Raw genomic sequence first — 24,691 nt, 5'->3', positions numbered from 1 at the left:
GCGCTGGCCAAGGTCTGCAGTGGCAGGTGCAGTTACGGGAAATGTGAATTATATTATTCCTTTACAGCTCTTCTTCAGAACTGGGGAAAAAGAGAAAGTGATAATGGGAGGTAGAGGAGGAAAAGACAATGAGCCCTTTGGTTGGGGATATTGGGAGGCTGTTAGGAGGATTACAGTCAGGAAGCATCAATAGCACTGTGGGTACTGGGCCAACTAGATCTGACTTGTGCCTTGGGAAATTCCTGGGCAGTCAGCTTAGTTAATGTTTACCAATAGCAAGGGCATAGAGGGTGTAGTTACTGAGAACACAAACAGCACTTTATCTTTTTCCTGATCATCAAACATCTCGGGTGTTTGATCCTTTGCTAGACTGATTCTCCCTCCTTTTTAAAGTTCATGGCCCGGGTGTGGTGGCTCACACCTATAATCCCAGCACTTTGAGAGGCCGAGACAGGCGGATCACTTGAGGTCAGGAGTTCGAGACCAGCCTGGCCAACATGATGAAACTCTGTCTGTACTAAAAATACAAAAAATTAGCCAGGTGTGGTGGCGCACGCCTGTAATCCCAGCTACTCAGGAGGCTGAGGTGAGAGACTCATTTGAACCCGGGAGGTGGAGGCTGCAGTGAGCCAAGATGGCGGCGCCACTACACTCCAGCCTGGGCGACAGAGTGAGACTCCGTCTCAAAATAAATAAATAAAGTTCACATTACACCCTCATTCTTCTCAAAATCACATATTCACAAATTCAGGCTCCAGACAAATAGAGGCAGGAATGACTGGACTCATTTCTTCCTCTGTAAGAAGGAAGGGGTTGGGGATGGGAGAGAGCCTCCCTTCAGAGTCAGGCTGTTTATAATCTGCCATTTGCAACATCATTATTCCTCACTGTGAGGACAGTTTTGCTCAGAGGCCTTGCAAGGATGGTGTCCCCAATTCCTCATCCAGTGCAGACATAATCAAAACATATCACCACCGCCAAGGTCAGGTTCTATCATGTTCTGGAAAAGATACCTGCTGAGAGGCCACTGCCTGTCACCTTGCCCCACAGACCTCATCCTGGAAACTTCTCATTTCATCTTCCCTTCTTTGACCACTAGATGGAATATTTTCACTTCTATTCACTGAAACCCTGAAGGGACAGTTTTCCAAACTGGACACACTGCTTGAGAAGCCCAATGCTGAAGGGAAAATGTTTTTCCTTTAATTGTTCTGCTTACCCTAACCATTTTCTAAGCACTTGCATCATATGAGAGTGAATGTGGAATAGATGTTTAGGATCCCCACTTTCTGACCTTCAACTAAACCTGTCAACAACAGTGCTTTATTTCAAAAGGGTAACCTGAGTATTACAGTGGGAATCCCCTGACACCTTTCTGCAGGGCCTTCTGCTAACTTAAGGCTACCCTTACCTTCACTCTTGAAACCTCAAGCCTTTCAGATTCCTGCTCTTAAAGTCAACAGCTGGGGTATGAATTATTATGGGGCAGGACCATGTACTGATTTTAGAGCAGTAACTGCAGACAAATTGCTTTCCTGACAAAATAGAGAATTCTTCTTGGATGCTAGTCATCACCTTGACAGTACCATAGCCTGTTGTTACATCCAGTAACAGAGCCAGCTATCTCGGGTGTTGGAAACATGCCACAGGCAACTTAGAGCCTGAGACACCAGTACAATGTGTTCAGTCTTTCCCTTGAGGCCCAAGTTCAAAGAATTATTTAGGGATTCCCAAAGGAATGGGAATTACAGTATAAGTTATTCTGCAGAAAGTCAAGAGAAGGCCATAAAGCTAGAATGAAGGCTCTTCACTTGGGAGGGGAAACACTATTTGCTTCAGACAGAACCTGATCTATTCAGCTCAGGAGGAAACAGGGAAGGCAAGACTGGAAGATTCTATTTTAAAAGGATGTTTAGGTTTACCAAATATTTAGTTGTGCTGTTGTTAAAATGAAGAGAAATTAGAAAGTGTTTCCTTTCCTTTATTCTTCATCTTGTTTGTCCCCCTTATCATCCTCAGAAGTATTAGCTTGTGATCATAAACAGACAAGGCAAAGCTTTAAAATATCACCCACTTTTCTAGATAAACAAAAATCTTTTAATCAGATTTCCCTAGGGGCACCCAGAAGGAGGGGGAAGTCTCCTTAACAACTCTCCCAGAAGTGCTGAGATAATGCTATTCAACTCAGAGGAGGGACAGAGAGAATCACTAACCTGAGGGCTCTTACAAAAACAAAAAACAAAACAAAAAAACCAGAGCTTGGAACAAGTGATTTTAGGAGGCCAGGGTAAAGACACTGAAATCGATAATTATCTTCATGACTATGTTCCCATAGCTATCTCTCCTTAGTTTATGAGACACTGAGGCCCAGTATGGTGGCTCAAGCCTATAATCCCAACACTTTGGGAAGTTGAGGCGGGAAGATGGCCTGAGCCCAGGAGCTCACTATGTAGCCTGGGCTACACAGTGAGACCTCGTCTCTACAAAAAATTAAAAAAAAAAAAAAAAAATCGGCTGAGCATGGTGATGTACACCTGTAATGGTTTCAGCTACTCAGGCAGCTAGGGTGGGAGAATTGCTTGCGCCTGGGAGTTCGAGGCTGCAGTGAGCTATGATTGCACCACTGCACTCCAGCCTGGATGAGACCTTGTCTCAAAAACACTGAGTCAAACTCTAGAACTTTATTATAATCACCATCACAACCATCATCCAAACTACCATTCATTTAATATTTACTATGGGCACAGACTGGGCTAGGTACTTTATATACACTAGGTTATTTAACCCTCATAGAGATCCCATGAAAAATTGTTATTTCTATTAAAAGAAAAGGTAATTGGGCAAGACACTTGCCAAGGACACACAGCTTAGGAAGCAGCAAAGCTGAAAGTTAAAGCCAGGTCAGTCTGACTCCAAAGCCTCTACTCTTAACCATAACACAACAGTGCTTTCTTCTAGCTCAGATTTTTCTTCATAAAGACCACTGACAGCTGCCTGCACACAGCATTAGATTTAAAAATCATTAGATTTAAAAATTCTGTGGAGGCATGATGGTTTCTAGTTTTCCACTGAAGACACTGAGGTACAGACAGGATAAGTGACTTGCTCAGTGTCCCATCATTAGCAGGTGACAAAGCTAATTCTAGACCCAGATCTTTTAATTCCTTTTCTATCCAACTATACTGTATCTTACAACAGTCTTGTACTACAGTAAAAAAAAAACATACATTTTTAAATTGAGCGCCTCAAATAACTAGCCCTGCTCACAACATGAAAGAATGAAACCGAAAGGACTTTTGATACACTGAAATAAAGGACAGTGAACATAAACCTCTTCATGGTAACTTACAAATAACAAGCCATATCTGGTTGTGCCCAAGCTATCTGATGTCAATTAAATTAGTACTGGGAGAACCTAAAACCATGTGAGAAAGAGCTAGATCAAACAAAACAACAAATAGTGGCTGAGCTTTTAACTTCAGGAGCCTAACTAGCCAGACCTGTACATCACAGAATGATTAGAGAAAAAGGAGGTGCCAAGATAAGCCCACGTTTCCAATTATCCCCATGTTTCCAATTATCCCCACAGGTGATTTCTCTTCCTTCTTATATCTCAGGAAGGAAAGTAAAAAGAAGAGCCATGTTTTGCCTAATTCCTTTTTTTTTATTTTATTATTATTATACTTTAAGTTTTAGGGTACATGTGCACGATGTGCAGGTTAGTTACATACGTATACATGTGCCATGCTGGTGTGCTGCACCCACTAACTCGTCATTTAGCATCAGGTATATCTCCTAATGCTATCCCTCACCCCTCCCCTCACCCCACAACAGTCCCTAGAGTGTGATGTTCCCCTTCCTGTCTCCATGTGTTCTCATTGTTCAATTCCTATCTATGAGTGAGAACATGTGGTGTTTGGTTTTTTGTCCTTGCGATAGTTTACTGAGAATGAAGATTTCCAATTTCATCCATGTCCCTAATTCCTAATTTGAACAGAAAAATAAGGATTCTGTGAAACTGGGTTCAAGTGGTCGTTATTAGATCCACATAAGAATCTAGAAAATGATAAAATATCACAAAACACAGCACAATGTGGGTTCACCAATAATGAAATATAGAGAGAGGATCTTATGTTTTAAATTTTTGTAACATATAGTCCAAAACAAATAGATAATTATACATTCTGCAATAGATGAGGACATTGGCAGGGCATATAAAATTAGACTCTTGGGCTTCAAATGACTAAGTTGGAAGCATTAGCAAACTCAAGGAAGGGACAATTCAGAGGCTATAATGGGCTTAATGCTGCTATTTAAAGTAATGAAGCATTTTCTCTGCTTTCTGGATTCATTTCACCAAACGATTTCCTCAGCAGGTCAGATATAGATTTGCAGCAAAATGAAAAACATTTTCCAGGAATAAAACAACTGATCCCTGCAACAGCTGACTTAACTTTTCTGAATAATAAATCTTCATCTGACATGCCCAGATGCCTCAGAGTACTGTCACTGATATTCTTAACCTCTTCCTAACCTTGCCAGATCCTTGTATTTCATATTTGCCAAACATAATTACTGAGAGGGGGTAACTGCACTAGCTGTGTGATCTTAAACAAGTTATTTAACTTCTTTTTTTGTTGTTGTTTTGTTTTGTTTTTGTTTTTGAGATGGAGTCTTGCTCTGTCTCCCAGGCTGGAGTGCAGTGGCATGACCTTGGCTCATCACAACCTCCCTGTCGCGGGTTCAAGCGATTCTCCTGTTCAGCCTCCCATGTTGCTGGGACTGCAGGTGCATACCACCACCCCTGGCTAATTTTTGTTTTTGTATTTTTAGTAAAGACGAGGTTGCACCATGTTGGCCCGGCTGGTCTCAAACTCCTGACCTCAGGTGATCCGCCTGCTTTGGCCTCCCAAAGTGCTGGGATTACAGGGGTGAGCCACCGCACCCGGCAAGTTATTTAACTTCTTTGTGCCTGAGTTTTTTTGGCTCTAAAAGTGCTACACTGAAATAAAGAATAGTGAATATAAACCTTTTCATGATAACTTACAAATAACAAGCCATATCTGGTTATGGCTAAACTATCAATAGCACCTACCTTATGAATTTGTTAATGAGGATTAAATAAGTGCTTAAAAAGCTCTTAGCATGTAGTAAGTACTTAATAAAGCTCAGATATTATCATCATTACTGTTATTCAACAAAGCTTTTCCCTAGTATCTACAATGAACACTTTGCTCATTTCTTGTTCTTATAAGACCTTAGTTCAGAATTTCCAAATCTCCTAGATATGAAGAAACACTTTTGTTTCTAATGCCTGACCCTTTAAATTTAGGTCTCAGAATGAGCACTAATTGAAGCCACCTCATTGTTTCTAGTACTTTACATGCTTTCTAAAGTATCTTACATTCACTAATTCATTTAAATCTCCTAACAATACTGTGATGAATGTATTATATCAATTTTTGTTAGTCCAATTTGATAGAAACAGGACAATAAAGTCCAGAGTAATGCTTTGCTTAATGACTATACTGCTACTAAATGGCAGAGAGGCCTAAATGCCAGTTTATAACCTCCTGGCCAGTGCTCATGAAACTATGCAAAGTAAGATATTCTAAAATCCCTTTAAAGCCAATGAAACCATTTTCTCATTTATATTAACTGAAGTCCACACTGTATTCAGATTTCCCTAGTTTCTACCAAATGACCTTTTTTTCTTTTCGTGGTATATAATTCCATGTAGGATACCACATTACATCTAGCAGTCATGTCTTCTCAGGCTCCTCTTGGCTGTGACCATGTCTCAGATTTTCCTTGTTTTTTATGGCCTTGATAGTTTTGAGAAGTACTGGTTAGGTATTTTAAAGAATGCTTCTCAATTGGAATTTGTGTGATGTTTTTCTCCTGATCAGACTTGGGTTCTGAGTTCTGGGGAGGAGGACCACAGAGGTAAAGTGCCATTCTTATCACATTCTGTATGATGTGATGCTATCAAGGATACATGCTATCAAAAGGGCTTATCATGGATGATGTTAACCTCAATCACCTGGCTGAGCTGGTGTCTGTCAGATTTCTCCACTGTAAAGTTACTCTTTTCCCCCCTTTCCATATTATACTCTGCAAGGAAGTCACTATGCAGAGCCCACTAAGTGGGGAGTATCTACATAAATTATTTGAAATTCTTCTGCACAAGAGATTTGTTCCCATTCAATCATTTATATTAGTTTGGGCTTGTAAATATTTATTATATAGTTTGGGTTATAACCCAATACTACTTTATTTTGTTACTCAAATTGCTCCAGCTGTGGCCTTTCAGAGATCCTTCAGTTCGATCATGCTGACATACTCCCAATCACTATGATTTTTTTTTTTTAATTTCAGTACTTCATTTTTCTGTGGCACAAGATACTCTAGGCTCATCTTGTACAGTTCATATCCCAGTTCTAGAATCAGTTCATTTTCTAAGGAGTCCTGGTTCCTTTTATTGGAAACCAAAATCTGGGCACCAGGTGTGCTCCCATTCTAGTTGTTTTCTGACCACATAACTGCTAACAAAGATGCTTCACTCTGGCTACACTGATGTGAACTTTGAACTTTAGCAGAAGAGCTCAGCTCTAGAGAACAATGAGCTCCTACATTACCTTTTTTCCTCAAAGAATAAGTAAGTCTAAGCAGAAAAAAAATATGCAAAGAATTTTCAGTATGAATGAAATAAGACAAACCATCAGGCTTGCTGTATTGTAAACCAACACAATATAGTTATAACAGATCTGTAGAAGGATCCTTAGAATAAGAGAGTCATTTGTCGGGGGTCATCAGGGAGAATACTGATAGTATCTTCGGCTTTGCCGCATAACAGACACAGCATGGTATACTCCTAGAACAAGATAAAGTGCATAATTACCTAGAGGAACAGGGAAAAAGATGCTTTATAACTTACTCTAGTTAAGATGTTCTCTACAAATTGTCATGAATATTCTTTCTGTACATTGGATCAATTTCTTCAACATGTATCAGCAATGTCTTAGGCTTATTCTGTATATTCCAGAGCCTGTTGTTTATATAAATTGATACATAAATGTCATCTTGGAAATACATGGCTATTTCTCAGAAAGCACATATATTTAGCTTAGTGCTATTTAAAGTAATGAAGCAATTTGAGTGTGGGTCCCTATGGACAAATTCCTATTCTTACAGCTGTTCCTTTCTAGCATATTTAACACTAATACACAACAGAAACAATTTTTTGAAAGGAGAAAATTCCCAAACTGAAAAAGCTATTTTTATCTACCCTAGGAAAATAAACAATTATGTTAAATTCACTAGTATGTCCTGCCTCATTTTCAGATGGCTAGTTGTCTGGGAATTTGATCCATTTAAGAAGTTTGTTTCCCAGGCTTAATAAATGCCCAGATTGGTAATAGAGGAGATTTTGTTTTAGGCAAAAACCCTTAGGGCAAGGTCCTTTTTCTTTTTTTTTTTAGACACGGTATCACTGTGTTGCCCAGATTGGAGTGCAGTGGTGCAATGATGGTTCACTGCAGCCTTGACCTCCTGTGCTCAAGTGATCATCCCACCTCAGACCCCCAAGTAATTGAGATTACAAGCACTCGGCATCACGCCTGGCTAATTTTTAAATTTTTTGTAGAGATGGGGTCTCACTATGTTGCCCAGGGTGGCCTCAAACTCCTATGCTCAAGTGATCCTCCCACCTTGGCCTCCCAAAGTGACAGGATTACAGGTGTGAGCCACTGCATCCAGCCCAAAGTCCTATTCTTATAGCTTTCCCTTTCTAGAATATTTAACAGTCATAAACTACAGAGACATATTTCTTTGAAACCTTTCATTTAAAAGCCTTTTTCTCTGTACAAAAACAAACATCTATGTTAAGTCTTCTAGAATTTCCACACCTGATGCTAAGTTTGCTAGCTGTCTGGAAATTGATCAGTCAAGGCAGTTTGTGTTTCTTAGGTTTAGACAGTCACTAGAGAGGGCCACAGAGGTAAACAATGACTGTGGTACAAAGAAATAGAAGCAGGCAACTGCCTTTTCCATCTTCTACTGGTGAGTTCAGGAGGGGAGCTTAGTTGTGGCAGTGGAAAGATGGCTTTATGAATTAAAAATAAAATAAAAATACATCCTCTTCAAGGTCTTTTACTGTTCTCAAATACTTCCACTGCTTCAACCCACCAGGCATTGCTATTTGGATGGCAACCTTTTACAGGAAAAGAAGAAGGAAAAAAGTAAAGAGTCAAAAAGAGAAAATGTGTGAGGCTAAACAAATACTTGAGTTTTCAACCAATCTAGCCATTGACAAATTTATACTGAGTGCCTACATGCTCTGCAATGTGCTGGCAGACATGAAAGAACAAAGTCTGACTTTATACAATCTGCAATCTAACTTGGGAGGGGGAAAAAACCTAACATATAATCTGGCAAGACTATTAAATCAGTGAGACTGATTACACCTGTAATCTTTATAGGCAGTCTGGAACCCAAATTTCATTGCAAGTCAATTATTTGGAATTCAAAAGCAATTTCCCACAGAAGTAATGTCATACATGGCGGTTAGGTTCCCAGGAAAATCCACAAGTCTTTTAAATTTATATTGTTCAAGCACCATAGAATCTAACCATATATAGAAGTGCTTCTGTGGGAAAATATGTCTAGAATTCTAACTTGGGATGCCAGGAACAGATCTCCTCGTGCTGCCAGGAATATGATGAGATTAGGACACCTTTTATCAAAACCAGCCAAGTACAGAAAATAATTCCCCCAGTCATTCACAGGGACTCTCAAAGGCTCCAACTGGGCAGGGCCTAGGGGAAAATATTTGGAGGGAAGAGCAGAGTGGGCGGAATTACCTCTGAGTAAGACCAGATCTTTTTTTTTTTTTTATTCTGAGGGCTTTACTTTTTTCTCTATTAGCTTTACTCTCTTCCTCTATTAGTCCCTGTTAATTCTGACTCCAAGTCTTCTCCTTCCCTGGCCCACAGAGGAATAGAAAGCAGTCTCATAGTTTCTGTCTTGTTTCTTGAAGTAAACACACAATTTTGGTGTGTGTGTGGGGGGGGGCTTTTGCTAGGAGGGTTTTTTTTTTAAATAAAGGATACCTATAATAATTTATCATGTATTTTCCATGTAAACTCTGTCCCTCTGTCTCCACTTTCTCCCTAGTCTTGCCATCAGAAAATCCTACTTTGTTTAATAATGGCATTATGGTTGTTTTAAAAACAGAATACTTATCTTTCAGAGAGACTAATGAAGTATTTAAAGAGGTAGTGATACGTTTGGAATTTGCTTTGAAATAATCCTATGGGGGGATATGAGAATGGTGAAATATAAATAAAGCAACTTGAAGATGGGTAGTGTACATTAGTACACTATTCTGCCTACTTTGGACTATGTTTAAATCTCCTATAAGATGTTTAATATAAAACAACAATGGTGGCTGGGAATCCCACCTTGAACTTGAACTACTGCCAGGATAGGATGAGGGGCTGGGGTAGGGTGGGGACAAGGACAGTAAGTAATGGCAGCTGAGAATGGAGGGTTCTTGTGGCCATTAGGCTGAGGTAGAAGTTCCCAGGTGGCTATTCACTAGAGTCAGGGCCTGACATAGGTACAAGAAAAGTTCAGAAAAGGGAGAAGATGCATAGGCTTGAAGAGCAAAGAGGAGATGGAATTTGAGTTCAGGCAGAAAGAGGTAAGATTTAGTTGGCTTGAAGGTAGAGAGAGGGAATATTCAAATCAAGGAAAAGGCATGAATATGGACAGCAATATGGAAAAGAGCATGCGCATCGCTTACGGAGTAAAAGGGAAAGGAAGCTACATTTGGTTTGTCAGCAGGGGAGTGGAGGATGACATGTTTAAGAAGATTAACTTGATGGCAGTGTGCAGAACTGCAGTCTGGGGAATGCTGCAGTAATTCAGCCTTCAATGGTTATGGTCCTTGACATGAGGTGTGGTGCCAGAGTCAGAGAAAAGGCAAGCAAAACAAAGAAAAAAAAGAGGGGATGAGGGGTGTAGGCACGAAGGCTAGAGAAGGAAATGAGAAAGGTATCTAATAGGTCTCTACTGAGACTGAGTACATGTGTGTTCACTACAAGAGAGAGCATAAAGAAGGTTCCAGACCACAGAACAAAAGCTGAGGAGTATCACTTCGAGAAAACAGGAAAGAAAACTAAGAGAAAACACAAAGGAGCAGTTAAAATGATTTAAAAAGGAAAGAAGTCAAGCACTTTGGACCTCAAGGGCAGAAATGCTTCAAAAAGACAACAATAGTTAATAAAACTAGATGCAGAAGCCATGTAAGAGAGAAAAGAACTAAGGCAGTCACAGGATGTGGTTAGATTATAGGAAACGTATGAGAGAATAGTTTTAGCACAGAGAAAATGAAAATCACTTTGTAGGTACTTAAGAGGAGTATAGGAAAATAAGGAAAATAGGGTAAAGACCCATTCAAGTGGCCAGGTAATGGCTCACACCTGTAATCCCAGCACTTTGGGAGGCTGAGGCAGGAGGACTGTTTGAGCCCAGGGGTTCAAGACCAGCCTGGGCAACCAAGTGAGATCTCATCTCTACAAAAAAAATTTTTTAAATAGCCATGCACAGAGGCTAGTGCCTGTAGTCTCAGCTACTCGAGGGGTTGAGGCAGAAGGATCGCCTGAGCACGGGAGGTCAAGGCTGCAGGGAGCTGTGATCAGGCCACTGCACTCCATCTTGGGCGGCAGAGTAAGACCTTGTTGCAACAAACAAACAACCTGTTCAACTAAAGAAGCAAGAGGAAGAAGAAATGATTACAGGATGAATCAAAGTACACTGGAAAGAAAGACGATAACATGAGATTCCTGAGGAAATGCAGTAGGGGTAGCATTAGAGAGGGGTAAATAAAAATCTTTCTCTCTAACAGGAGAGAAGGAAGAGTAAAGTTGGGACAATGCTAAGTATGGTGTACATATGAAAGAGTAGCAGGAAATAAAAGAAGGGAAGCTGGGCCAGTCCAGTGAGAACCTTGAAATGAGGAGCTTGGATATTGTACTGTAGCTAAAGGTGCACTATGGGAAGGCCAATGAGGTCACCCAAAAGTATTTATTTTTACTTTTTAGTAGAGACAGGGTCTCACTATGTTGCCCAGACTGTACTCAAACACTTGGACTCAAGAGATTCTCCTGCCTCAGTCTCCTGAGTAGCTCGAACTATAGGCACACACCACTGTGCCCAGCTTTGAAAACATTATTTTAAGAAAATTAATATGATGGTAGAGTATGGAGTATGAATTGACGGCGGGGGGGGGGGTGGGGGGAGAAGTAGACTGGGAGTAGAGAGTCTAGTTTAAGAATCATTTTCACCACCATTTCATAGTTTCTTGCATCGTGACTACAAGCCACCTTCCTTTACCTTCTTCCTGTCCCAGAGTAATTTCCAGGGCAGCTTTGAAAACGGCTGCATTCAGTCAAAAAGGAAAAATCAGCTAGACTTTGGTCTAGCTAATTTACAATGGCTTGGTTAGGACATAAACAGGCAACCTCAATATCCGTTCAGGAGCTGTACATAACTCACGTGAAATTCAGGAGTGTCTTGAAAATAGCTATAAGCACTCCTTTCCTCCCATAAAAGAATAGGACTGTTTCTTTAAGCCCAGGAGATGCTCATCTCCCTATGCGGCCACTACTCATTCACTAAGATGTCAATTTTGCCCTAAGTTACGCATATCATATAAATATTTCTTGAGGCATAATTTTTGGATGCTGAAGAAATATAAAATATAGTCAAGATGTTATTTTAGATTAACCACAACATATCAGACCAGACTCTGACAGGTGACTAAGCACTTTCTTCCATGCTAAAATAAGGAATAAGAGGGGTTTTACTATCTTATGATTCTGCTATGGAAGATTATTATTATTTTCCTAATTAAGTACTATCCAAATGTGAAGGGAATTGAAAAAATTCTCTCGGCTGTTAAAAGCTCTAGCCTGATATTTATATCCTATGGACAAATATGTAGTTCACACAAAATAAGTAACTCAACCTGAAGGCTTGAAAACAGGCAGTGAGGGACAGAGATAGGTTTCAGTTTGTCCCTGGCTCTCCCCGACTGCCCAGCTTTTCTTTCTGACCGTCAGACCTGTGTATCTTCAGCAACTACAGGCCTATATCAACCTTCCAGAGAATTCTTCACATACTCTCACAATTGTGTAAGGATTAATCCTTATGATAAATCTCTTAATCTCCAGCTTCACAGTGGTTCTGTGTTTCTCCTCCAACCATGGTACACACAGCTTGTAATTTTACTTAACAATACTATAATGTCTTACCACAAATGAGACTGCAGAGTTGTTCAACTCTACATGTCAACTTGGGAAAACAAAGAAAACCTCCTTATCACAGTTTCCATGCTGGGCAAGTATGGTGGCAGTTGACAGGACACCACTTAAAAGCCCACAACTGTGCAATCACGTAACTGGGCAGAAAAAAAGCAGCACAATGGTAATCTCATAAGAAGCTAGAATGTGCTACTATTCTTTATAAACAAAAATGACAGGGCTGAGATATCATTTGTAAACTACACATTTTGATTTGTGATTCTCGTGAAGACAGGTTTACACAAATCCACCCACATCTAAAGTCTGTCTCTCAACTTGCACAGATATAAGAAAGGCATGGGGCTGGGCACAGTGGCTCATGCCTGTAATTCCAACACTTTGGAGGCCGAGGTGGGAGGACTGCTTGAGCCCAGGAGTTCAATACCAGCCTGGGCAACATAGCAAGACACCATCTCAAAAAAAAAAAAAAAAAAAGGCATAGTCTCCTTTAATATATGCTAACGCTTTGCACTTCACTTATGAAAACCGTATTTAGATTCTCAAGAGCACTTTTATTATTCCCCTAACCTCCCCATATTTATATTTATACCCATATTTATATTTACCTGAAATTCATCCATGATACTGAATGTATACTCATGTCTGGCTATTACATGATGACAATTCTTACACAAATCTGCTAAAACAAAGAGAGACTTACGTAATTAAGTCTTAGAGAGTTTCTTAAAACTTCTATTAAAATTTCTATTCTCAGCATATTATTTAAAGAGAATCTTAAGTCTGTCATATTTAACATAGGAGGAAACCCATTATAGTATCTACCTTGATTTTTAAAAGATTCAGAATCTGCCACATAACAACGTTACATAATTCTGAGTCTGAGCTTTTATTAATTGCCACCAAAAGTTCTTTAAGAGAAGCAGTTAAAACATATTTAAGTGTATTTTTAAACTAGCTAGATCAATTTCTTTTTTTTTTTTTTTTTTTTTGAGGCCGGGTCTTACTCTGTTGCCCAGGCTGGAGTGCAGTGACACAAACATGCCTCACTGCAGCTTCAACCTCCCAGTCTCAAGTTATCCTCCCAAATCAGCCTCCTGAGTAGCTGGGAGGATAACTTGAGCCCAGGAGAGGCTCAAGACATGTGCCAACACACTCAGCTAATTTTTTTGAATTTTTGTAGAGGTGAGGTCTCACTATGTTGAGCAGGCTGGTCTTGAACCCCTGGGCTCAAGTGATCCACCCTCCTGGGCCTCCTAAAGTCCTAGGATTATAGGCGTGAGCCACCGCACCCATCCCAGCTGGACCTATTTAACTATGTAAAAGCTTTCATTATCATGAATAATATAAACTGTGCTACTATATCCAATCATAAATAAAAACCAAAGCTGGGCATTAAAGTGAATTTAATGGTAACAAAATAATCTAGTAAAAACGATGATTTATTGAGTGCTTACTATTTTAAATATTTAATCTTCTAAAAAACCCAATGAGGTAGATAGTATCATCACCACCTTTTTAGAGATAAGGAAACAATGGCATACTTCAGTTAAGTAACTAGCAAGACGACTGAGCCAGGATGTATTGGAACCAGAATTCAAACCCAAACAGCCTAGCTCCAGGGCCCTTGCTCTTAAACCACTATGCCCTACTGCCTGGAATGAAATACAGCTTAAAGAAAACATATGCTAAAAAGAAAGAAAAAGATTCTTCTAGCTTAGAACATTTATTATTATCTGACTCCATTCTAAAGGCCTGCTGTCTTTCAAACTCCTCTGACAAAATACCATTACCTGTACATTTATTCCTCATGTGTTTAGAAGGTACCCAAGAACCAGGAGACAAGCAAAAAGGGAATGTGAACAGTTAAATACTTCTCACAATATTGGGCACTGAAGTATACATATACTTAACTTACAGAAATCCTTAGTGCTAACCTCAGAATTGATTTTTTTATACATAGTTTATTTGGTTTCCCAGTATTGAGGACGAGAAGAAGGATAGGAAGGCAGCTTATTATTTAGCAGCAAAAGTAAGGAACAACAGACTGACAGTGAGATTGGAGAAGAAAAAAAAAGCTAGACATTCTGAGCAGAAACAAGACTGAAAAAAACACTGCATTCCTGAAGTCATTTAGTATAGGGACAAGCAGCCCTAAACACTTTAATAGCTGTTGGAGGATATCATGGTATTATACTGTAGCAGAAAAGTGAAAACTCACATGGATGACCCTAAGGTCACAATAATAACAATAATAAAAAGTATATCTTGTTAAGGCAGCATAAAGCTTTTAAAAATATGTCCGTGAAAAATAATTTGATAAACAAAAAAAATTCAGTTCCTGAATCGTAAGCTTTAGTTATCTGCAAAAGTCATTTACATAGACTATTTGATATCCCAGATAAATGAGGTGTTAATGACATTTTCCTCTTAAAGACCTAACTAGTAATTATGTGCGCAATACAATATTGAAATAGGCCTCAGAATATTTTGTGTAACATATCGACTTCCAAAAGCTGACACCTGCTAACACACTCAGGTTAAAAAATAAAGTCTACTTACGATCATAGGTAACTATTTCTTCTCCATCTTCTTCTTTCAAGGATTTGTTTGTGATCAGCATAAAATCCCGCTTACTGCACACTGCACAGCCTGTAAAGTTCAGTAAGAAAGATCCATTCTCCAGGCAGGTATTACCCTAAAATATCAGAAACAGGAATTTAATTTCTTTACATTTCAAAATCTTTAGTGAAGATGATTAACAGACTTAAAATGTCTAAAGGCAAAACAAAACTAAAAAATGGCCAGCATTTACTTCTAGGTCATATACCAAATAATTTTTGAAATTACTAGCTTTCCTAAAGAAGTGTTACTCATGTTAAAAAAAAAAAAAAAAAAAAAGCAACTAAAGTGCAGTGTTAGATCCTTAAGTCTGTAAGGACTGCCACTATGTTGAAAAGGGAGGATAAACTGAAAATAGATATTTAGAAACAACTTAAGGAAACCTTAATATAAAATATGAAAATAGAAAATTAGAAAAATTTAATAACCAACAATATTAAACGAGGCTTACCAACTAAAATTAAATTCAATCAAAATAGAAACTGAGTCAATGATAAAGATGATCTTACATAGATGTTTAGTTGTTTGTTCAAATAGTTTTGATCCTTGATCATAATACAAAATAAACAAAAGTAAACTCTCAGCTCTATAGATGTCAGTCCTTAAGGATACACATGATTGAGGCAGAGAAGCTTAAGTTCTTCATTTCGTAAGACTGACACAATGGCATTTAAGAGAGAATGGGTTTTACATCTTTACTAAGAAACTATACAAATTTTCAAAAAAAGTTTTTAAAAAAGAAATTCTAAATAACTTATGCTCCTGGCTCAAAGGAAGCCTTTTTTTTTTTTTTGGTAATTGAGATGGGGTCTTGCTATGTTGCCCAGGCTGGTCTCAAACTCCTGGGCTCAAATGATCTTCCCACCTCAGCCTCCCAAGTATTGGGATTACAGTTGTGAGCCACCGTCCCCGACCCAAAGGAAGTCTTTGCTAAAGGCTAATAATTAATAATTAAAAGTCACTTTATAAATAATCTAGTCCAATCCCATTTCTCAGCAACACACTTAAAGAGTATTTTTAAATAATGTGATTAAAAATCACTCAAATCAACGTTTCTCCAGTGCATCTGTGTCTGATATTGTGCAAAGCACAACAGAGGATTCAAAGATGAGCCAAACATGTTGCTACCTTCAAGGAGTTTTAAGAAGCATCAGCGAAATTAAGATCCACCATAAATAATGCCACTAGGAAGTCTTTCTGGATTCCAAGCACCAGAATTAATCTCTCCCTTCTATGTATTGAGGAAGAGATTAATTCTGGTGGGAGAATTAATCTCTCCCTTCTATATATTGAGGAATCTCTCCCTTCTATGTATTGAGGAAGACATTAATTCTAGTGGGAGAAATCAAGACATTACTACATAGTTATTAAATCATAGGTGTACTGCCTTAACTACTAAAAGGGAAAAGGGCCTTAGGATTAAAGTATACATTTCCAGTTATTAAGAACAAATGCTTTGCTTTGATTTTTTTTTTTTTTTTTTTTTTTTGAGACGGAGTCTCGCTCTGTCACCCAGGCTGAAGTGCAGTGGCACACTCTCGGCTCACTGCAAGCTCCACCTCCCAGGTTCATGCCATTCTCCTGCTTCAGCTTCCCAAGTAGCTGGGACTACAGGTGCCCGCCACCACGCCCTGCTAATTTTTCGTATTTTTAGTAGAGATGGGGTTTCACTATGCTAGCCAGGATGGTCTCGATCTCCTGACCTCGTGATCTGCCCGTCTCGGCCTCCCAAAGTGCTGGGATTACAGGAATGAGCCACTGTGCCCAGCCTTTGATTTTTTTTTTAATAAAATCTACTGAGGTACAATTTACATACAATAAAATTCACACACTGTAAGGGTATACATAGGTGAATGACTTTTAACCAATGTATATACCCATGTAACCACTACCCTAGTGAAGGTATAAAACATTTCTATCCACCCCAAAAAGTTCCTTCATGCTTTTCAGTCTATCTCTAACCTCCATCCCACCCCAGACACCCACTGATCTGATTTCCATCTCCAGTCTTGCACGTTCTAGAATTTTATATAAACAGAATCAGTATACTCCCGCATCCAATTTTCCTTGCTCGATATAATGCCTATGTTCATCATCACTGTTGTTCTAGGTACTGGTAGTTTGTTGCTTTTCATTGCCAAATAGTATTCCCTGTAGGATTCAGCTGTTGGTAGATATTTGGGTTGTTTCCATTTGGGGCTATTATGAATAAAGCAGCTATAGAGATTCATGTGCAAGTCTTGGATGGATACATGTCTTCCTTTCCCTTGGGTAAATATGTAGAAGTGGAATTGCTAATATGGTAAAAATATGGTATATTTAACTTTACAAGAAACTGCCAAATGGTTTTCCAATTTACATTCCTGCCAGCAATGTGTGAGTTCCAGTTGCTCTATAGCTACATCAATACTAGGTACTGCTTTTTATTTTTGCCATTCAGTGACGTAAAGTGGTATCTCATTGTAGTTTTAACTTTTGTTTCCTTGATGACTAATGATGTTGAGCATCTTTTCATGGTGCTTATTCATGTATCTTCTTTTATGAAATGTCCATTCAAGTCTTTTGCCCATTTTCAAAAAGTTAGGTTGTTTATTTTGAGTTGTAAGAGTTCTTTATATATCTTAGATACAAGTTTTTTCCCAAATATATTTTCTCCGTCATTGATTTGCCTTTTTTGATGGTTTCTTCTAATGAGCAAACAAGTTTTGATTTTCATAAAGTCCAATTTAACATTTTTTCTTTTATAATTTATACTTTTTTTCTCCTAAGACATCTCTGCCTACCCCAGGGTTGCACAAAGTTTCTTACATTTTTTTCTAGAAGTTTTATAGCTTTTAGTTTGTAGATTTAGGTTTATAATCCATTTTGAAATAATTTTATATATGAGGTAAGGATCAAGGTTTATTTAGTTGCGTATGGATTTCCAGTTGTTTTGGCAAGATTTGTTGAAGAACTGTCTTTCCCCCCACTGAATTACAATGGTGCTTTTGTAGAAAAAAGTCAATGACCATATATATGTGGGTCTGCTTTGACTATTCTGTTCCCTTGATACATATATCTACCTTCCCACTAATATCAAACTCTCTTGATTACTATAGTTTTTATAGTTAGTCTTTAAATCAGGTAGTTTATGTCCTATAATCTGGCTATTCTTGGTTCTTTTCAGTTTCATGTAAATTTTAACATGAGCTTACACACTTTACAAAAAAGTCTACTGGAGTTTGAATTGGGACTGCCTGGAATCTATAAAATCTGACTGCCAAGGACTCCAAAAAATTAAGGAAAACAAAACAGTTTTTAAAAAGATCTAAATGCCAATTTCAAATAAATATAACTCTGAACTGGACTGCATCCACAGACACAGGTTCCTTGCACAACGTGGCCTAGCCTCTGTAATCTGACCATGAAAGTAGGCTGAATGTGAGTCTAAGAAAACACTGAAGGAAGAGAAGTATCTATGTATCTGTTGTCTGGTAAGTAAATGCTTCAAATGGCAAAATACAAGTACAGTATATAAGAAGCGGATGGGACTTTCTTTAAGAGCCCTGGTCATTTGAAAGCAGCAAGAGTAACCTTCATCAGTGAGGCACAGTTCTTTTATTAGATGAGGCAAGACTATTAACATCCAAATTTGGGAAAGTAAACTAAAGCACACATTATTCAGGGAAGGTTTTCAGGCTCCCATAATAGGTGGAAAAGAATGCAATTCAAATCAATTCCACAATAATAACAGTAGACCATAACAGCTTAAAGAAGGAAAAAAGTCGACATGTTTAGTACCCTTAGAAAATCTGATTCAGATAAATCCTGGTTAAGGATTTGTAAAGGTATACAAGTGTGCAAGAAGAAATGGCTGAAAACTGTAAGAATAATTAATATGAGAGTATGTTATAAAATCTTACGAGAAAGCTGTAATTATTCTGATAAAGACTGGATCAATTTTTTTTCCAGCAAATTATTTCAGATGATACAAGTTAATAGCTAATGTATATATTTTGCCAGGGAATGTTTAAAAATGGAAAATACGGTTTTTCTTAAAGAACCAATTTTTTGTTTCATTGATTTTCTCTACTGTATTCTCTCAGTATTTTCTACTCTGATCCTTATTATTTCCTTCCTTCTGCTTGCTCTGGGTTTAGTTTGCTCTTTTTTTTCCATTGTCTTTTTCTTTTTTTTTCTTTTTGAGACATGGTCTCACTCTGTCACCCAGGCTGGAATGCTGTGGCGCAATCTTGGCTCACTGCAACCTCCGCCTCCTGGGTTCAAGTGATTGTCTCACTTCAGCCTCCCAAGTAGGTGGGACTACAGGCACACAAAACCATGCCAGGCTAATTTTTGCATTGTTTGGTAGAAACAGGGTTTCACCATGTTGGCCAGGCTGGTCTCAAACTCCTGACCTCCAGTGATCTGCTAGCCTCGGCCTCCGAAGGTCCTGGGATTACAGGCGTGAGCCACCATACCTGGCCCATTTTTCCATTGTCTTAAGTGGAAGGTTAGGTAATTGATTGAAAAGTATACTTTTTAAATATAGGCACTTATAACTATAAATTTTAAGATGCAGAGTATCATTTTAAGGCACTCTTACATACAACTGTTTTGCTAATTATATATTACTCAGCATTTAATTAAATCTGGTTCAATGTTATCTACTAAGCAACAACTTGAATATATGAAGTTTGGTAGCTTAGCTTTAAATGACAAATACAAAACAAGTAATTTTAAACATATCACTAACATTGATTTTTTCCCACTGATTCATAATGTATTTCTGTATTCCTGTTGCATTACTAACAAAATTTCAAGCTGAAATTAAAATATATGAAATGTTTCATTTCCAGTTTGATATGAAAAATATTTGATTACAATTTTGTGCCTGTTCAGTAATTTTAGAAAATGTAGTAGAGTTCTAGTTCTGACTGGTTTGCTAAATGCTTTTCTGAAGGAAAAAAAAAATGTGGTTCACCATTGAGTTAAAAAACATTTGGGTTCAGAAAATTAGTATGGTTCATTCCAACTTGACTCATGTTTGAATTCAAATTCTCAGTGTTAACAGTATAAGCAAGTAGGCCAGAGCCCCATTAAGAATTCAGTACTATATATTTCTAGTCTGTAAAAATAAATGACAAAACTCCAAACAACTTTATGTAATCGAAGATAAATAATTAACTATTACTTACTCATTCTACACTTAGAGCTTCCCAACAAATGATTTTTTGTTTGTTTGTTTTTTTAAGTAGACAGGGTTTTGCTCTGTTGCTCAGGCTGGAGTGCAGTGGTGTGATCTTAGCTCACTGGAGCCTCGAACTCCTGGGTTGAGGGAATCCTCCTGCCTTAGCCTCTTCCCAAGTAGGTGGAACTATAGGCACACACCACCACGCCTGGCTAATGTTTTTTAATTTTTAATAAGGATGGGGTCTCACTATGTAGCCCAGGCTGGTCTCAAACTCCTGGGTTCAAGCCATCCTTGTGCCTCGGCTTCCCAAAGTGTTAGGATTACACGTGTGAGCCACTAGGCCCGGCCCACCATCTTCTTATTACCCTTCCCTTTGCTAAGCTTCTGCAAAGCTGAGCAAAGCAGTGGGCTTCTGCTCTTACTGCACTTAAAAATAGGTCATGACTTCAAAGAACCCCAGAGTTGGAAGGATCCTTGACATTCCAAATGGTCAGTTAGTCTCTACTGAACAATAGGAAGAGAGCTTAATTCCTTTAAGAGTTACTCATTCCATTTTGAAATGTCAGAATGTTCTTTATTCTGATTCAAAGTCTAAGACCCGTAACATCCACCCACTAATTATTTCTAAATCTGCCTTCTAAAATTCCAAAGAAAAGTTTAATTCTTCTTCATGACAGTCTTTTAATTATTTTAGAACAGAATAAAATCAGAGAAAAGTGCCTTTGAAAGGCACTCTCCTGGTTTTCCAATCACCTCGATCCCTTTTTCTACTATTCTTCCTTATACTTTATTTTCATTTCTGAAGTTAATTTAGTCTTTGGAGCTCAGTCCTTGATTCTCTACATTTTTTTCCTCAGAGAACAAATCCTATTTTGACACTTGTATTTGACTGACTCATCTATCTACATAGTTGTACCCAAACTGCAGTCTTATATCTTCACTTGACCCTTCGGATATTCTCAACCTCAGGTGAAGCATGATATTAATAACAATTTGACCATTTGTCCCCAATTTTGTTTTTTCTTCCCATATGCCTCCAATTTCTGTAATGATACTTCCAACATCCCAGTTGCCTAGATTGAAAATCCTGAGATCATGTGATCATGTATAGGTCTCCCCTTATTCACTTCTACATTAAACAGGTTGAATCTTGTTAATTCTTTTTTTTTTCAACAGGGTCTCGCTCTGTTGCCCAGGCTGGAGTGCAATGGCACGATCATGGCTCACTGCAACCTCCCACCTCAACCTCCAAGTAGCTAGGACTACAGGTGCATGCCACCACGCTTGGCTAATATTTGTGGTGGTTTTTTTTTGTTTGTTTATTTGTTTTGAGACGGAGTTTTGCTCTTGTCACCCATGGTGGAGAGCAGTGGTGTGATCTCGGCTCACTGCAACCTCTGCCTCCCAGGTTCAAGCGATTCTACCGCCTCAGCCTCCCAAGTAGCTGGGATTACAGGCGCCTCCCACCACACCCAGCTAATTTTTGTATTTTTAGTAGAGACGGGGTTTCGCCATGTTGGCCAAGCTGGTCTCGAACTCCTGACCTCAGGTGATCTGCCAGCCTTGGCCTCCCAAAGTGCTGGGATTATAGGCGTGAGCCACCGTGCCCAGACTATTTGTATTTTTTGTAGAGACAGGGTTTTGCCATGTTTGAGACTGGTCTCAAACTCCTGGGCTCAAGTGATCCACCTGCCTTGGCCTCCCAAAGTGCTGGGATTACAGGTGTGAGAACCGTGCCCAACCTAATTCTTTCTTTGAAATAAGGTCTTCATTATCTCATGCCTACACCACTGTTGCCATGGCTCCTCAAATGCCCTGTGGAGTTCTGTCTTTACACACCCTCTACCCCACCATTTCAACATTCAGCCATAAGATTCATTTTCCTAAATAACAGATTTCAGAATCATTTCTCTATTAAAATTTTGATGGTGGCCCAATGCCTAAAATGTAAACTCTAAACTTCTCAATATGACTTTTAAGTTTTACAATAACTCCACTCTTAAGAATCCAACCTAAGGCCCGGCGCGGTGGCTCACGCCTGTAATCCTAGCACTTTGGGAGGCCGAGGCAGGTGGATCACGAGGTCAGGAGATCGAGACCATCCTGGCTAACAAGGCGAAACCCTGTCTCTACTAAAAATACAAAAAAATTAGCTGGGCATGGTGGTGGGCACCTGCAGTCCGAGCTACTCGGGAGGCTGAGGCAGGAGAATGGCATGAACCAGTGAGGCGGAGCTTGCAGTGAGCCGAGATCATGCCACTGCACTCCAACCTGGGCGACAGAGCAAGACTCCATCTCAAAAACAAAAACAACAACAAAAAAGAATCCAACCTAATCTCTTTAATATTCTCTACTGCAAACTCCTCCCTCATGGTCTCATAATAGCTCATGTTTATTACTGGTTTCATAAAAATCTTTTTAAACTTTAAAAAAATGAAATAGTACATAGTAAAGTACATGAAACATAAATGTAGCGAACAAGAAATGATTATAAAGTGTACATCTGTAGAACCACCACCCAAATCAAGAAATAAAACACTGCTTGCACCCGGGAAGACTTTTTCTCATGTGACCCTTCTTGATCACACCCTAATCCCTTAGGAGTAACCACTATCTCGACTTAACAGTAATTGTATACGTTCCTTACAGTTTTACCACCCAGGTACATCCTTGAATAATATATTTTGGTTTGCCTCTTTTTGAATTATACTTTATGTGTTCTTTCATCAACACTATTTGTAAGACTTTTCAGGCTGCTGTGTAATTCTAGTTTGGTTTCACGGCTATAATTCAGGGTTTCTCTACCTCCACACTATTGACATTGGGAGTGATACTTTGTTGTGGTGGCTGTCCCATGTATTGCTGGATGTTTAGCGGCATCCCTTGCATCACCCATTAGCAGTCAGTAGTACTTCCCCTTTTGACACCCAAAAAATGTCTCTGGATATTGCCAAATGTCTCCTAAGAGCCAAAAATCACTCCTGGTAGAGAACTACTGCTCTAATTCATTCACTTCCATTCCTCATTCATTAATGGTGTTCCATTCTAATGAATGTATCAGTTACTTTTCCAATCTACTACAAAAATAATGCTGTTATGAACACTTATTTATAAAAGTCTTCAGAAGCATATACACATGCATTTTTCTAGAATGGGAATCACTGGGTCATGTCTGTATTTTATAAGGCTCACCCGCTTTTTCAAAGTAGTTGTACTACAGGAGAATTCATACTGTTATACATGCTACTCAAAAGCCTAAGTATTACCCATAAGATACTAAGACATAAGGAACTACAGAGACTTTCTCCCTCCTTCCCAACCAATGCACAAATTCCATTTCTGTAATTTTCCCCCATCCTCCAGCTCCTCACCTTCTTTTCTACCCTAATTACAACTGTCCTTCAAGTCTTAGATGATGTCCACCTTTTCTCAGGGGAGAACAGCACTATCCCCTATTGCCCTCCCCTTTCCCTAAACTTGAATAGCATTTCTGAACTGAGCTACTCATTTTTTGTTAGTCACATACTCCCCAAAACTGTAAGCTGTTAGGCAGCACCAAAGGTGCCTTTTAATTTCTTCTCTGAAACAAATAATCCAGCTGGACGTGGTGGCTCATGCCAGTAATCCCAGCACTTTCGGAGGCCAAGGCGGGAGGATCACTTGATCCCAGGAATTTGAGACCAGCCTGGGCAACAGCAGCACCCTGTCTCAAAGAGAGGAGAAATAATCCCTTTCTGGCCTAGCAAAGTAATCTAACTACACATATATAAATGTTCAACAAGGATGCCTTGAATGAATGAGAATAGACAAGCTTTGCAAACTCCTGAACCTGAAAGTAACTGAGATTCAGAAGGCGGTAACAGGCAGGAAACCTAAATTCTAGTCCTGGCTCTCATCCATGCAACTAGAATGTGAACTTGGGCAAGTGATTTCCCCTCTCTGGGCATCGGTTTCTTCATCTGCAAAAGTGTTAGAACAGATGACCACAGAGGTCCCCTCCAGCGCTAGAATTCGGTAAGAAAATTGTACTTCATCAAATCGAGCTTGAGGATGAGACCGGAAGTGGGGGTGGGGGAGTCCCTCGGTTGTCGACGGGGGTTGTGGTGGTGGTGGGGTTCCTCTGTTGCTCCTTGGAGCTCAAGAGAACGGCCACTACAACTGAGGTCAGCCGCCAGGGCGGGTACCAGAGGTGCAGACCGCCACAGGCCATCCCTGGTGTGCCTAAATACCGCTACTGGGTCACCGGGACCGGCAGTGCGGCCGAGTCCGCCCCACGTACGGCCTCTCTGGGAAGGCCAGCCTTGGATATGAGACACCTCGGGGGCCGCCCGCGGGCCAAGGGAGCGCCCAGTCGCTCACCCGGTTGGGATATTCCTTCTCCACACAGTCGCCACACATCGCGACGCAGTCAACAGGGAATGTCCTCCAACGCTTCCGGGAAGACGAAACCTCGCGAGAACTGAGATACGGTTGCCGCATGCGCCCAAGTACTCGACTCCTGGGTATTCCGTCTCGGGAACCGAGCCGAAGTCTCCGCCCCTTAGCAACTGTTGTCAAGGCAGGGCACAGTCTC

The 24,691-nt window shown here is 39.5% G+C and overlaps 2 protein-coding genes across 5 annotated transcripts in view, besides 3 other annotated features; both read right to left on the bottom strand.

Annotated features, from left to right (window-relative positions):
* The window catches only part of CHURC1-FNTB (CHURC1-FNTB readthrough), a 148,295-nt gene extending 123,644 nt beyond the window's left edge, over positions 1-24,651 (bottom strand). Inside the window, exons 1-3 of one of the 2 annotated variants that reach the window (NM_001202559.1) lie at positions 24,478-24,651; positions 14,886-15,021; positions 12,932-13,002 (exon numbers count right to left, since the gene is read on the bottom strand). In NM_001202559.1, the coding sequence (NP_001189488.1) occupies positions 12,932-13,002; positions 14,886-15,021; positions 24,478-24,597 (327 nt within the window). In that variant the 5' untranslated portion in view covers positions 24,598-24,651. The remainder of the gene's footprint in view (positions 1-12,931; positions 13,003-14,885; positions 15,022-24,477) is intronic. The other variant, NM_001202558.2, reaches the window with a different exon arrangement.
* On the bottom strand, positions 3,644-24,557 carry CHURC1 (churchill domain containing 1). 3 transcript variants are annotated; one of them, NM_145165.4, is made up of 4 exons: positions 24,478-24,557; positions 14,886-15,021; positions 12,932-13,005; positions 3,644-6,874 (listed from the first exon to the last, which is right to left on the bottom strand). In NM_145165.4, exons 1-4 carry the CDS (start codon positions 24,514-24,516, stop codon positions 6,782-6,784), a joined length of 342 nt encoding a protein of 113 aa, NP_660148.4. In that variant the 5' UTR covers positions 24,517-24,557; the 3' UTR covers positions 3,644-6,781. The 3 variants fall into 3 exon arrangements, with proteins under 3 accessions (NP_660148.4, NP_001373857.1, NP_001190993.2); NM_001386928.1 differs by having other exon boundaries at positions 12,932-13,002; NM_001204064.2 differs by lacking the exon at positions 12,932-13,005.
* Positions 9,938-10,007: an enhancer, noted in NCBI's record as "active region_8539". NCBI's record gives its function as "activates an Ori minimal core promoter by ATAC-STARR-seq in GM12878 lymphoblastoid cells {active_cell/tissue: GM12878}" and the evidence as "EXISTENCE:reporter gene assay evidence [ECO:0000049][PMID:35858748]".
* Positions 12,334-12,534: a silencer, noted in NCBI's record as "peak2167 fragment used in MPRA reporter construct". NCBI's record gives its function as "represses an SCP1 promoter by STARR-seq MPRAs in K562 erythroleukemia cells {active_cell/tissue: K562}" and the evidence as "EXISTENCE:reporter gene assay evidence [ECO:0000049][PMID:32103011]".
* Positions 24,288-24,557: an enhancer, noted in NCBI's record as "active region_8538". NCBI's record gives its function as "activates an Ori minimal core promoter by ATAC-STARR-seq in GM12878 lymphoblastoid cells {active_cell/tissue: GM12878}" and the evidence as "EXISTENCE:reporter gene assay evidence [ECO:0000049][PMID:35858748]".

Source organism: Homo sapiens, chromosome 14 (genome assembly GCF_000001405.40).
Source record: "Homo sapiens chromosome 14, GRCh38.p14 Primary Assembly".
Taxonomy (NCBI): domain Eukaryota; kingdom Metazoa; phylum Chordata; class Mammalia; order Primates; family Hominidae; genus Homo; species Homo sapiens.
Note: the sequence above shows the minus strand (reverse complement) of the source record. Positions and strands in the feature narration are given on the sequence as shown.

What these genes read in the sequence shown, in the direction of transcription:
- CHURC1 (NM_145165.4), bottom strand. Translation starts at nt 24,516, where the DNA reads ATGTGTGGCGACTGTGTGGAGAAGGAATATCCCAACCGG. An exon ending in AGAAGGAATATCCCAACCGG is followed by an intron (nt 15,022 to 24,477) that starts GTGAGCGACTGG and finishes CTGATATTTTAG; the next exon opens with GGTAATACCTGCCTGGAGAA. An exon ending in AGAAATAGTTACCTATGATC is followed by an intron (nt 13,006 to 14,885) that starts GTAAGTAGACTT and finishes TCTTTGTTTTAG; the next exon opens with CAGATTTGTGTAAGAATTGT.